This window comes from Homo sapiens, chromosome 1, assembly GCF_000001405.40.
Source record: "Homo sapiens chromosome 1, GRCh38.p14 Primary Assembly".
Taxonomy (NCBI): Eukaryota; Metazoa; Chordata; class Mammalia; order Primates; family Hominidae; genus Homo; species Homo sapiens.
This window is the reverse complement of record NC_000001.11, coordinates 182701838-182715806: the sequence shown is the minus strand read 5'-3', so window position 1 is coordinate 182715806 and position 13969 is coordinate 182701838. Positions and strand designations below refer to the sequence as shown.

General features: G+C 43.1%; 1 protein-coding gene and 1 long non-coding RNA gene across 3 annotated transcripts in view; one reads left to right on the top strand and one right to left on the bottom strand.

Moving 5' to 3' along the window:
* The window catches only part of RGS8 (regulator of G protein signaling 8), a 110559-nt gene that overhangs the window by 36570 nt on the left and 60020 nt on the right, over positions 1-13969 (top strand). The window lies entirely within an intron of this gene.
* On the bottom strand, positions 1263-2945 carry LINC01688 (long intergenic non-protein coding RNA 1688). Its single transcript, NR_146548.1, has 2 exons — positions 2919-2945; positions 1263-1494 (listed from the first exon to the last, which is right to left on the bottom strand). It is a non-coding gene; the product is annotated as a long intergenic non-protein coding RNA 1688 (long non-coding RNA).

Below are 13969 nucleotides of genomic sequence, written 5' to 3'. Positions count from 1 at the left end.
GCCACACTGCTATTCCTTGCCGAGAAAAGCCACAATTCTGTATAGCTCTCAGGCAACCAAGACACCTGGCAGGCTTGGCTCCCTCCCCATTGCTGGCAGATGGGTCATGATTGGTCTAAGTCAGATGTTCCAAAAATGTGGTCTCAAGACGAGCAGCATCAATATTATCTGGGAACTTATTCTAAATGCAAAATTTCAGGCCCCACTTGAATAAAAGACTCTGGGGATAGAGCCCCACAATCTGGGTGATGCTGGGTCACTTCTAGGTGATTCTGATATGGGCTAAAGTTAGGAAACTGCTAATCTAAAGCAATACTGATAATCTTATTCCCCTTTCCAATAACTGGGTGAAGCATAGACACAGGGCCCAATCATGGCCTATAGGACCTGAGAAGAAGCCAGATGGGGAGTGGGGAGCGTGCTCAGGTTTTTTGTGCCAATTTAAAGGGGTAAGTGAGAGTAACTGCCTGCTTTGCAGTATGCTATTTGTTGTGTATGTGACACCTGGACTACTTCCATCACTTTGAAACTGGGAGAAAGATGTTTTCTAGGAAAGACAGGGTATAAAGTTAGAAAATACCCAGGTCTTTGTTGATGCTGCTGAGCTGCTGAATAAGCCAAACTCCAGACTTCCTCTTATACGTTACAATAAATATTATTGATGGGTAAGCCACTTTCAGTGGGTTTTCTTCTTTGTAGCTGAAAGCAAACTCACTGATGTTCCCATACAACAGTTGTCTCTTATGTAAATCAGTGCTCTTTGGAATGTATTATAGAAAGATTATGGCGCATTGAAAATGTGGGCTTTAATCATACTAATTATTTATTTTCATTTTCTCTCTGTATTGATGGCGTAGGGGTAACGCATCCATTTCTTTCTTCCTTTGGACTCTGAATAAGCCAAGAAAATGCCAAACATTTGGATGAAGAGATGCTCAGTTTTTCATATGGGTCCAAATGATCTGGATGTTTGGCTTCTGAAAATGAAACATCTGGAGCACAAAGCAATGTTTTTACGTTTCAGTTATATTTTGGTGTTATATGGAAACTATTATCAAAACCAGGAAGGAAAGATTTATTTAAGAAAAAGGATCACTTGAGAGCATCACTGGCAAGCTGCCCTGCCCATATAGCAATTCATTCACTCATTCCATTTTTCTCATTCTGAATAACTGAATATCTACCATATGCAGGACATTGTGTTATGGGGATGTAATTATGATTTCACATATAAATATGACTTTATAGACTTAAAAACAGTCTTTTTCTTCCAGGACCATACGGTTTAATGATGAGCAATTGTTATAATAAAATAAGTTGACATGGTAGAGAGTGGTAAGGTGTTAGTGGGAGCTTGAAGAACGGTGTTTTCATTCATTTAGTTATTCAACATATATTCATCATGTGTTTAATGAACCAGATGCTACTTCAGGCTTTGGGTCCACAGTGATAAGCACGGCCAGCAATTGTCTCTACTCTTGTGGATCTTACAGCCTAATGGAAAGAAAGACATGAATGCATAAATACACAAATATATTTATAATGATAAATTCAGATAGTTTTATGAAAGAAAGAACAGTGTGCTGTCAAAGAGTAACTGGGGTGATGTCATTTACTATGCGGGTCAGGAAAAAACTGTCTGAGGATATGACATTTAAGCTGAAACCTGTAGGGTGAGTGGGAGTGAGTGAGATTAAGTTTGGGGGCATGAGGGGGAGGAAAGGTTAGAAAAGTCTTCTTATAGGAAGTGGCATTTGAGATGAGTCTCAAAAGTCAAATTGGCGTGGTAGAAAATGTCTATAAATATGCACACGAAGAGGATTGTGAGGAATATATCAAAATGCAAACAATTTTATCTTTGGTATCATGATAATGTGTACTTCTACTTTTCTTGTTTCTGTTTTATGTACTGTATTTTCTGTGTACTTCTTTTGCAATAAAAAATTACTTTAAAAAGTGACCATAAAAGAAAAGAGAGATAAATTGGTGTTTTTCAAACAGGCAATGATGGGGTCAGGGCTGGCGTGTATGCGTACCATGGGAGATGTAGTATTTCCAGGCACAGTAAATGGCTTTGGCAACAGCTTGAGCATTTAAACAATTGCTAGTTACTAACAGCATCTCACAACTATAGCATGGCAGTGGGGACAGGGGAGAGAGGTGAACCAGGAAAGTGGTCCAGGGGTCAGTTAAGGCCCTTGTGTCATCAGGAAGGACCTCAGGTTCATCCTGTGGTCAGTGGGGGTAAGGTGATTAGATTTGTATTTTAGAGGTATCCCCCGTGCCAGTGCAATCTATGGGACAACTGCAATCATTAAAGAGAGGCCGGGCGTGGTGGCTCACATCTGTAATCCCAGCATTTTGGGAGGCTGAGGCAGGCAGATCACTGGAGGTCAGGAGATCTAGAAGAGCCTGGCTAACATGGTGAAACCCCATCTCTACTAAAAATACAAAGATTAGCCAGGTGTGGTGGCATGCGCCTGTAATCCCAGCTACTTGGGAGGCTGAGGCAGGAGAATCACTTGAACCTGGGAGCTGGAGGTTGCAGTGAGCCGAGATCACACCACTGCACTCCAGCCTAGGTGACAGAGCAAGACTCTGTCTCAAAGAAAAAGAAAAAAGAAGATAAAATAAAGAGAGCAATTTTGTTAACAGCAGGGAAATATTTCTTTTTTAAAATTATATGTATCTTCGAGTGAGCCACCCAAGATTTATTCTTAGTTGGTCGCCATGGCTCAATTTGGGACGATGGCAACTTGGCCAATTCTTATCTTATACCACTTTGGCTGACTTGACCAATTAAAATATTAAATTCAAATGATTAATTTGACCGGTCTGATGCCAAACAACTGGGTAGGTGAAATACTTTAGTTTCAGCCATATATTTCAGGGTGCTACAGCCCCAGTCTCCCCTTTACCTGGTCGTCACCATGAGTCCTTTGAGGATCTTAAGAGGAAGGCAGGACTGTCCTTTTCCTACCTGAGAGATCAGAATGAGGTCATGTCTGTAGAATGATTGATTTCCTCAGACAAAAATACTCTTGAAATATAAACTGTCAATATTGTTTGTTCTGATACCAACTTTTTGTGCAGGTTTTAATTTTGTCTATTTATTTCAACCAAATCTGAGGTCTCCATGGCTACAACAGAAGAACAGAAGGAATAGAATACTTCTGTGTTAGAACATCCTAAAGGGTATTGTTTATAATAAAGTGTGGGTATTTTGAAGGATGCCCATATTTTTAAAAGGTGTAAATACTGTTCATATGGTGTTCCAAGCCAGAGACATTTTTATGTTCTGGCCGTGGGTGACATGTGAGCACATTGGAAGGATATATCAATAAAGGCTCTAGAAACAGACTAAAAAGATAGCTGGATTTTATGGTCAAATTCAGATGGAACAAGATGTGTTTATTAGCCTGTAGGGCAGGGTCTGGGCTCTGTATGACCTGAGTAATCAGGTCAAATGTGGCCATGGATTGACATCCAAGTAGCTGTATGAGTTTACATTCTGAATGCCTGAGAAGCTTTACTTCAGGAAAAACTCACATTTTCATGGGTACTTCATGGATGTGTAGCTAACCTGTTTGGCAGGATTGGCACATGATGATAAGTCCAGCATCCTTTTTCAAGAGGCAATGAGTGTGTTTGAGGCTTTAGAGTTAGATCTGAATTCCAGCTCTTCCCCCTACTATGTGTGACTTAGATTTCTTCACTTGTTAAATGGGAGTAACAAAGTTCACTTTGCAGGGTTATTGTAGGGGAGTAAATAAGTTACTTATAGGGTTCCTGACATTTAATAAGCTCTAAAAAATTGTTGCACCTACTGTTGTTATCATTCATACTCTGAAACAGGACAGAGCTATGCAAGCAACGGCTCAAGAATTTTGATTTCTAAATTCTGCAAATTAGAAGCTCTAGGATGGTGGAAAGCAAAGGAGGAAAACAGAGATTAATATGATGGGAAGATCAGGTTAGAGTTTCCTGCTGTTCAAGGTGGTGAGATCTCAGGCCCTGTGTAGCATCTGGAGATTTTTGGAACTTAGCCAGTATCTGGGGCCAAGATATTCCTGGCTGTTAATGCAGATGCCAAGGCCTTGAGCTCCTGGTAGACAAAGGTTAGGGTGATGCCAGGGTGCAGCCACATCACTTGGCTGAATTGTTCCACAGTTCAAGTCAGGGGTAATGCTGGCTGACCCCAGCCCACTGAGTATCTGTCTCAATATTTGTTGCTGGTATGTGTTCCCAGCCACTTATCAGTCCTCCTTTCCTCCCTCCTGGGTCTTGTCCTAGTCAGGTGCTCTGCTTCCAGTCAGGTATCCAGCCTGTGTCCTATTTTGCTTCCCAGCTTAAGGAGATCAAACGTTGCAGGTAAAGTATTTGCTGACGAGGTGGGACCTGTGTCATTTTGAAAAGGACTCTTGGAAATCAGAAGAATGACATTTTAATGGCAGAATGATAGACAATGGATTGGTATTTGGGGTCAGGGGGCTCTGTCTGGCACTTGTGATTGGGATACATCATGGTGCAGTGGCCACATTGTCTACTCTGAAGGCCAAGCCTTGCCAGAAGTAGTGTTTTCAAGTGTTCCCTGAAAAAGGCAAGTGATCAGGGGAGTGGTTCAGTACAGAGGTACTGGCTCATCACCTGTTCACTTCTGGCCTGATGCATTTTTGACTGACAGTGACTTCATTTGCAAAGCGAGGTCCTTGTGTGATCTCCTTCTTGGGCCTCATTCACCTACCAACTCAGGAATCCCATGCAAAGTGGTGTCCTTTGCCGGCATCTTTGTGCCTCTTGCATTGGGACTCACACCTGTGATTGCCTTAAAGATGCCTTTGGTTTCTTGATGCTTATTGCCCTGAACTGTTGTGTAGGTGCTGGGGAAAGGTTGCAGGGGGCAGGGACAAAAAGTACTCCATGAACATGAAAAATGCTGCAATGAGAGGTTTCTTTTTGGAGAGTTTGTTGAATTACATAATAATATGAAAATAATATTACTACTACCTACATTTTCAGGTCCTTTTCTGTTTCTCAGGTACTGTGTTAAGCACTTTTCATGGTGTTTGAATGCCTGTTGTTTTTGCTTGTCCTGCATCCCTCCTCCTCTTGTGGTAACAGCAGATTTAAAGCGGAAAATCAACTCCTGATTTTCCTTTTGGAGCTCACCTATTCCCCATTACATGCAATCTTTGGGGGCCTTTTGTTTTGTTTGCCTTCTCTTCTCCCCATTGGTGGGAGAGGGATCTTTGCTGTAGGGTTATGGGGATGGCTGAACACACAGGACACCTGACCCTGGACAGATGAGGTTGCCAGCATTTTATTAGTCATTTATACACACAGCCTGGGGGAGGAGGACACCACCGGCCACACAGAGCCATAGGGGGTTATGCTCAGGAATAGAGTGAACAAGTAGAGGCTGTGGGAGACAGACTTTGTAGTATCAAGAGGGTAGGGGTGTCCCTGCTACCTTATAAAGATGTGATTGGGTCATTTGAGTAATTCCACAGGCCAGCAGGAAACTGAAACCCACTACTCAGGGATAAGCAGGAATTGCACTTTGTTCATTTGATAAGGAGAGATGTTTGGCCAGGGGACCTTATTTGTAGGAGGAGAGGGAGAAAGAAGTTTGCAGTTAGGTCATTTGAGGCCTTCCTCATTTTGGGCCATAACTTTAGGTCTCATACCACACCTGTGAGTCAAATTCCTGTATCCTTCGCTGGTAAAAAGGATGGGTATGTGGCCTATGCTAGACCAATCAAGCCCTCTCTCTCTCTTAGAAATGTGAAACCTTAGTGAAACAAGGATGGAAAAATGATTGGAGTTGACTAATTCTGACAGCGCTGTCCCAGAGAAATTATTCACTCCTGTAACCCAGAATCTAGAGTTGGATTCTGTTGCTTGCAGCCAAGAACTATAACTGTTTCACATTTATTTGACATAATGACCCTAAGGGATAGGTAATTTTTATTATCCCCATTTTACAGATGAAGAAACTGATGCAAAGAGATGCTAAGATGGTTCGCATTCATAAAACAAGTAAGTGACAGTGGGGGGAGTTGAAAAAATAAGATTAGGTTGGCAGTAGTTTGCAACTCTGCACCTTTTTCTTAAAGTCAGGGAATAGAAATAGTGTGTCAGAACTTTACTTGCCACCTAGGCAGGGGAGTGCCGATGAGATATAGTATCACCCAGTGGCAATACCTGGTACACTCCTTGGTATGTGGTTATCCAGTCTTTGGCTTTATGGGGTCACTTACATTTCACCAAGAGCTAAATAAACTCAGTCCCTGAGTTCCAAAGATGGTTGGATATGAGGTGTCACATTGATGTGGAGACCATAACCAGAGAAAGATTATTATCTTTAACTGGCTCTGATGAGGTTGAGTCAAGAGTATTCTGGTTTGAGTGGGTATGGAAAGGATGTGTGTGTGTGTGTGAGAGAGAGAGCAAGAGAGAATACATGTGTGTGTGCACTTCATAGTTCAGATTCTTGAATCTTTTCTGTCAATAAGCACATATACCTGGACTTTGGTGAGCAAAGACAGGAGGGCTGAAAAGTGTAAAACTTTTCAGTAAGAGTAGAAACTATGAGGCCCAGTGTTTTCCCACTAAGGACCCACAACATTGGGAAAGTTAGAAAAAGGTGGACAGTGCTCTAATGGGGATAAAACAAAAACAAAAACCCACACATACATAAAAGCACATCTACAGAAGTAGAAAGAAAGCCAGGAAAAGGAAGAACCACTAAAACCAAAGAGAGAAACGGAGAGAAGAAGGTGTGTGGGAAATGGGAAAAGGCGCTTTCGTCAGGCTGCTGTTCCTAGATGGAAGGACTTTCACCATCTTGGCAGGCCGCACAGGTCATCCTTTCCCTGCCCCAAGCTTCCGCCTGCCCAGAGCTGCTTGGGGAGCAGTGCATCAGCGACCAGATGTTAGGAGCACCAGCGTCAACTTGGACATTCAGAAGTCTCATCACCTCATGGCTGTGTTCAAAGAGAAAGTGGCTTCCTGCTGACACAACAGTTCCCAAGTATGGGGCAGGAGCCTTGAGCTCTGATTCCCCCATGCGGCCCAAACTTACTCCGCAAACTTTGAAGTCTGTTGTTCTTGGCCGGGTTTGAGGGCCTCAATGCAGAGAGACACAAGTGGTCTCTGTCTGGAAGCCAGCCTGGTGGCAGGAGAGATGGAGCCGTGCTAAGGCACACAGAGCTAAAATTATCCTGCCCTTATTTCTTCCGCTTAAAGACACGTTCTGTGGAAGTCATGGGTATTATGCTATCAGTCCATTGATGGCTTCAAACCCCTTGTCTGAGCCATTATATCATCTCAGGGGTGTGGGGAGCCCAGGTGTGCCTCTGTAGACAGGCTGCTTCCCAGCACAGGGACCTGCAGCGGCTGTGAGTCAGGTCTGCCTCACCTTCATCCATCTCCTTCAAGGACACTGCAGGGGCCAGCGGGGGCTTCCTTTCCATGGCTTCCTGGGAGGCAGTATGGGGGAAAATTCCTTTCCAGGTCACATTGTGAAGGGATGAGGCTTGAGTGGAAGACAAACAGAGGGAAGCAGACTTTTTCTGGTGGACTCCTTGAGTGACTAGTACTTCTTCCCAAGGGGTGCTGCTGCTTAGCCTATTGATTAGGAGTTTGGGGTCAGACGTCCTTGGCTGAATTCCATCTGCACTACTGACGAGCCCTGTGACTGTGGCCTATTACTTAACCTTTCTAAGCTTTAGTTTTATCATCTATACAATGACAGACTTATCTCGTGGAGTTTTGTGATGATTGAAAGAAATAATCCCCATAAAAAGCTTAGCATCTAATGCCTGTAATCCCAGCACTTTGGGAGGCCGAGGCGGGTGGATCACGAGGTCAGGAGATCGAGACCATCCTGGCTAACACGGTGAAACCCTGTCTCTACTAAAAATACAAAAAATTAGCCAGACATGGTGGTGGGCGCCTGTAGTCCCCGCCACTCGGGAGACTGAGGCAGGAGAATGGTGTGAACCCGGGAGGCAGAGCTTGCAGTGAGCCAAGATCATGCCACTGCACTCCAGCCTGGGCGACAGAGCGACTCCATCTCAAAAACAAAACAAAACAAAACAAACAAACAAAAATTTAGCACCTTGCTGGCAAGTAGAAATGCCTAATGTTATTTATTGATTATGATGATGACTACACAGTTGCCTTAGGTGCCTCTGCCCTTGGACTTTTCCTGGCCAAACCATAAAGATCATCTGGCCCCAAGTTAGCGGGTTATTGGAATGATTCTTCTAGTGGCGGTGATAGTAGAGGTGGGGGCAGGAAAAGGAGCAGAATGGTTTGACAAATATTAAAATAAAATTTTGATGCCTTTGCCACACCTTCCCCTGCTTCATACTTGAACTTGGACTTCTAGGTTCAAAGCCAAACTCAAATGGCCAATGTTCTTAGAAAGCTGGCTCAAACCACTGTTGGCTGCAGTGTTCTTAGTGGGCAGAAGGCCATGTTCCTCAGCTGGACCAGCTCCCAGCACAGCAAAGTACAAAAGGTTGTCTTTGCCTCTCCAGCCTCCTTCCATTAGGCTACTATTACAGTAGTAGTGTCCTCTCAGGCACAATCTTGTTTTTGTTCCTATCGATACCTAGTTTTTGTTTGTTTGTTTGTTTTTTGAGATGGAGTCCCACTCTTGTTGCCCAGTCTGGAGTGCAGTGGTGCGATCTCGGCTCAATGCAACCTCCACCTCCCGGTTCAAGCTATTCTCCTGCCTCAGCCTCCCGAGTAGCTGGGATTATAGGCACCCCCCACCACGCCTGGCTAATTTTTTGTATTTTTAGTAGAGATGGGATTTCGCCATGTTGGGCAGGCTGGTCTTGAACTCCTGACCTCAGGTGATCTGCCTGCCTTGGCCTCCTAAGATACTTAGTTTTAGAAAAAAAATCTGAAATGAATTCATACTGAGATATAAATGACTGACAGCCTAAAGTGTTACCACTTCAGGGGAATTTAGAGTTTGATATGAAATAATGTACTCCCACATTGATTTTAAGAGTTAGCCCATGGATGGCCAGGCATGGTGGCTCATGCCTGTAATCCCAGCACCTTGGGAGGCTGAGGTGGGTGGATATCTGAGGTCAGGAGTTTGAGACCAGCCTGGCCAACATGGTGAAACCCCATCTCTAATAGAAATACAAAAATTAGCCAGGCGTGGTGGCACACGCCTGTAGTCCCAGCTACTTGGGAGGCTAAGGCACGAGAATCGCTTGAACCCAGGAGGCAGAGGTTGCAGTGAGCTGAGATCGTACCACTGTACTCCAGCCTGGGCAGCAAAAGTGAGACTCTGTCTCAAAAAAGGAAAAACAAAAATGAGTTAGCCCATGGATGAGGAAGGCATTCTGGGAGCATTAGGTCTTCCTACTTAGGTGGTTAATTTCCTGGTCTTCAAATCTCTTTTTAGCTCAGTTCTAGCAGGTGGCACGATCAGCAGCACTAGTTGGACAGGGGAGCCAGATTGTTGTCCTGACATATAAAACATATCTCCAGGCCAGGTGTGGTGGTGCACACCTATAATCCAAGCACTGTGGGAGGCTGAAGTGAGCAGACAGATCACTTGAGTCCAGGAGTTTGAGACCAGCCCAGGCAACATGGTGAAAACCCATCTCTACAAAAAAAATACAAAAATGAGCTGGGCGTAGTAGTGCATACCTATAGTCCCAGCCACTTGGGAGGCTGAAGTGGGAGGATTACTTGAGCCCAGGAGGCAGAGGTTGCGGGGACCCGAGATGGTGACAGTGCACTTCAGCCTGAGTGACAAAATGAGACCCTGTCTCCAAAAATAAAAAATAAAGAAAAAAAAAGTTGCATCTCCAAAACATTTCTCAGGGATAGTGGGGGACAGAATCTGACACTGAGGAGAGGGCCTGTTGCTCCAATGTCCTCTGCCCCATACCCACTTGCTCCTAAAATTCTTCATTTATAGAAGAAGCTGTTGAACGGGGCTGCTACTGATTCCCTTGCTGAGTCAGGGGCACAAACGCCATTTCTGGAGATGTAAAATCCATGAGAAGAATTGGAAGGAACTGGCAACTCTCTATATACTGTCTTGTTTAAAATGGAACTTCACCCTACACATTCCCCGTCTTTTTATCTATGTTGCCATTTGCTTGTAGATGATGCAGATATTTACTATTATCTGAGTACTGATTCAATGAGTATTATGCGATCATTCCTGAGGCCTTCTCCTTCATACTCACCCACATCAATGCTGCATGTTCTAGATAAAGTAGCTATAAAAAAAATCTTGGGATTCTTTTTACGCTTCAACTTGACAGGACTAAGAGATGCCCAGATAGCTGGTAACACATTACTTCTGAGTGTGACTGTGGGGCATGTTCTGGATGAGATTAGCATGAATCTGTAGACGGAATAAAGATTTCTCTCTCCCATGTTGGTGGACAGCATCCACTGCATTGAGGACCTGAATAGAATAAAAAGGCAGAGGAAGGGTAAATTTGCTCTGTCTGCTTGAGCTGAGGCATCTGTCTTCTGCTGTCAGGCATGGGTACTCTTTGTTCTCAGGCCTTCATACTTGAACTGGGGTTTTTACCATGTGTCATGGGCTTTCTTGCACCTCCTGCTTCCAGACAGCAGACTCTGGGACTTCTCAGCCTTCATAATCACGTAAGCCAATCTCTCATAATGAATTTATTTTTATATATCTATATGTATGGTGTTGCTTCGGTTTCTCTGGAGAATCCTAATAAAACTGTGATACAGAGTAAGAATATACATAATGATATGTTGTTTCACATAACAGTACTTACCCTTACTATATATCAAAAACATTGTTTGACCTCTGAAAATGATTTCACAGGTCACAACCTGCAGTAGGAGGCTGGGACCCATGTTCACACCTGGCTTGCCTGTGCACAGATGGGCACGTGTGGTGTGAGTGCCTCTGATGATGGTGCTGATAGTGACAATGTTGGCCCTGGGTAAGCCTGGCTGGAGGTGTCTTGTGCGAATTCTTCACTCATCCCTAGCATAAGGCCACCTCCCTGCCATAATCAAGGACAGCTTGGGTCCAACATGGTCTTGCCAGGAGTGGGGGCAGTGAGGGTGGGTCTGCAATTCACACCCAGCAAGTGACACATACATAATCCGCATCCCCGATTCCTCTTTCCACCATGGAAATGGCAGCAGGGGAGTGGAAAGGGACCAGTTTTAGAGGGAGAGGCTAGGGGAAGGGTTAGTACTGTGGAGCCACACCTTTGTCCCATTCTGCATATGGGTCCAAGATGCCCCCCCTTACCTGCTTTTTTCCAAACTGGCACACTTTTCTTCTGTGGAGGACTGAAATTGGGAGGGCTCCTGGCCTTCTAGGGGTAGTGTAATGCAGATTCCGGGAATAGAGATAAACCAAAAGAAGGGCTTATGACGGGGCCTGCCTAAGAATGGTTTAACTGAGGACAGTGAGAGACACTGAGTATTTGCTTCTTCAGTGATGAACTCTTCAACACCTGCAGATGTGCAGTTTCAAGAAAAAACCTCTCCAACCCATTGTCCTGAGAGTTCTAGTACCCAGGGAAGTGATTCTGTGGCTATTTTATGCAAGCTGAGAAAATTGTATTTTATACAAGTGGAGAAGCACAGAAAATTACAGTTATGGTTATTGGAGGAATCACTATTCGTCTGAATTCCATTCAATCAAAAGCCCCCTGGGCTCTGTAGATATCTGAAGTAAAAACAGTCCTATTTAGGCTTATAGTTAAAGCTATAGTGAAATCTTTATTGCATAAATGTAAAGTCTTTATATATTGCCTCTCTAAGAAGTCAAACTTCTTCAGGTCAGAAACTATTTCATTTCAACTTTATATTTCCTGCAAAACCAAGTGCTGTGCTGTACCATTTGTTAATGTTCAATAAATATTTGTTAAACGAATAATAAAATTTGTGGTTTAACTCCTACAAATTTTTATCTCTAATCAGTTTTTCTCAACACTCAGCCTACTCGGCATCACCCCTCCCTGACTTCCCAGTCAATGTGTGCTGAGGGAACGCAAACAAAATGTAATTAGGGAGGCGAATCTGCTTTGAAATGCACTTGTGTAAACAAATGTAGGCCAAAGGCAAATTTAAATGACTTTCAAAATCATCTGTGGTTATTATCCATGACCCTGTGCTGGCCCAATTTTTACAGATAATCAGGTTATAGCTGATATTGGTTCTGTATTTTCACTTTAGAACAGAGGTAGAAGGTAGAAGGATGCTGTGAGCATGGATTAGGACAAAATAAAGTCACAAAACCCCTGAAGTTGTGGTGAATTGAAGACACAAAAACAAAAGGATATTATTTTTCTTAGCCGAGGTCTATGCAAATGTACCTTTTGGCCACCCCTCCACAAGCTCCAATTCTATTTGCTATCTCATCAGGTTAGTTCAGGATTTGGGGGTGGTAGGTAGGATTTGTGGGTCAGAGCAGTTTGTTATTCAGATTAGTGTAATCTCCTCTTGAGATAACACAATTTTCCCAGCCTCCAGGGAAGGTTCTGGTTTGCAGCTTTTGCTGCCACACAAGCATCTCTCTCAGAAATTTGGGTTGCAGGAGAAAATGCCCCTTTCCCTTCAGAAGGCATAGGCAGGGAATTTGTAGAGGGTAAGGAATCTTTGCAAAATTTAGGTCAAAGCACTGGCTTGGGATTATTTACTCAGATAAGACTGTCTAGTACTCTATCTTGTCCAGCATTGCAAAGTGCATGGTACATAATAAGTACTCAAAAAGGATAACTTCCTGGGTAAATAAATGAGAGGGTGAGTGCTCAAATGAACTTACTGGAAACAATCCAAGTGTTCCTTTTCTGCCCCTTTATCATTGCCTATACATTGTAATGACCCACTGCACTCTCCTTTAGAGAGGTGACTTACTCTCCATATGTTTGCAGTTAGATGGGCTGTGAATGTACATATGGTAGGTGAACACCTATTTGGTCTAAATAAAGAACAAAACTTTTTACCTCTTTCAAAATATTGAGTCATCTCTCAGTGATCTGTGCATTTGACCTGGCCTGAAATTTCCATTATTATTATCACTTAGGGGTTAGATAGCAATATTGAATAATTGAATTTCTTTAGGAAGTCATGGATACAGGTAATATCTAATTAGAAAATCACTGATGATATAAATATTTTACTTACGATTGGATCTTTAGCCTTATTAGTTTATTATTTAACCGACTGATCCCTTTGCCAACAAGTGTATGACACAACAAGTCTTTTTAAAAAAGTTATAATTTCAAGTTTTATTTTAGATTCAGGGGTACATGTGCAGATTTGTTACCTGGGTATATTGCATGATGCTGGGTTTTGGGGTATGACTGATCCTGTCACCCAGGTACTGAGCATAGTATCCAATAGTTTTTCAACCGTTGCCCCCCTCACTTCCTCCCTACTCTAGTCATCTTTTCGATTGTTGCCATCTTTATTTCCGTGAGTACCCAATGTTTATGTGGTATTTGGTTGCCTGTTCCTGGGTTAATTCGCTTAGGATTATGGCCTCCACCTGCATCCATGTTGCTGCAAAGGACGTGATTTTGTTCTTTTTATGGCTACACAGTATTCCATGGTGTATATGTGCCACATTTTCTTTATCCAACCCAACATTGATGGGCACCTGGGTTGAGTCCTTGTCTTTGCTACTGTGAATAGCACAATGCCTTTTTAGCAGAATGATTTATTTTCCTTTAGGTATATACCCAGTAATGGGATTGCTGGGTCAGATGGCAGCTCTAAGTTCTTTGAGAAACCTCCAAACTGCTTTCCACAGTGGCTGAACTAATTTACATTCCCACCAATAGTGTGTAAGTGTTATTTTTTCCTCTGCAGCCTCACCAGCGTCTGTTGTTTTTTAACTTTTTAATAGTAGCCGTTCTGACTTGTGTGAGATGGTATTTCATTTGGTTTTTATTTACATTTCTCTGATGATTAGTGATGGGGA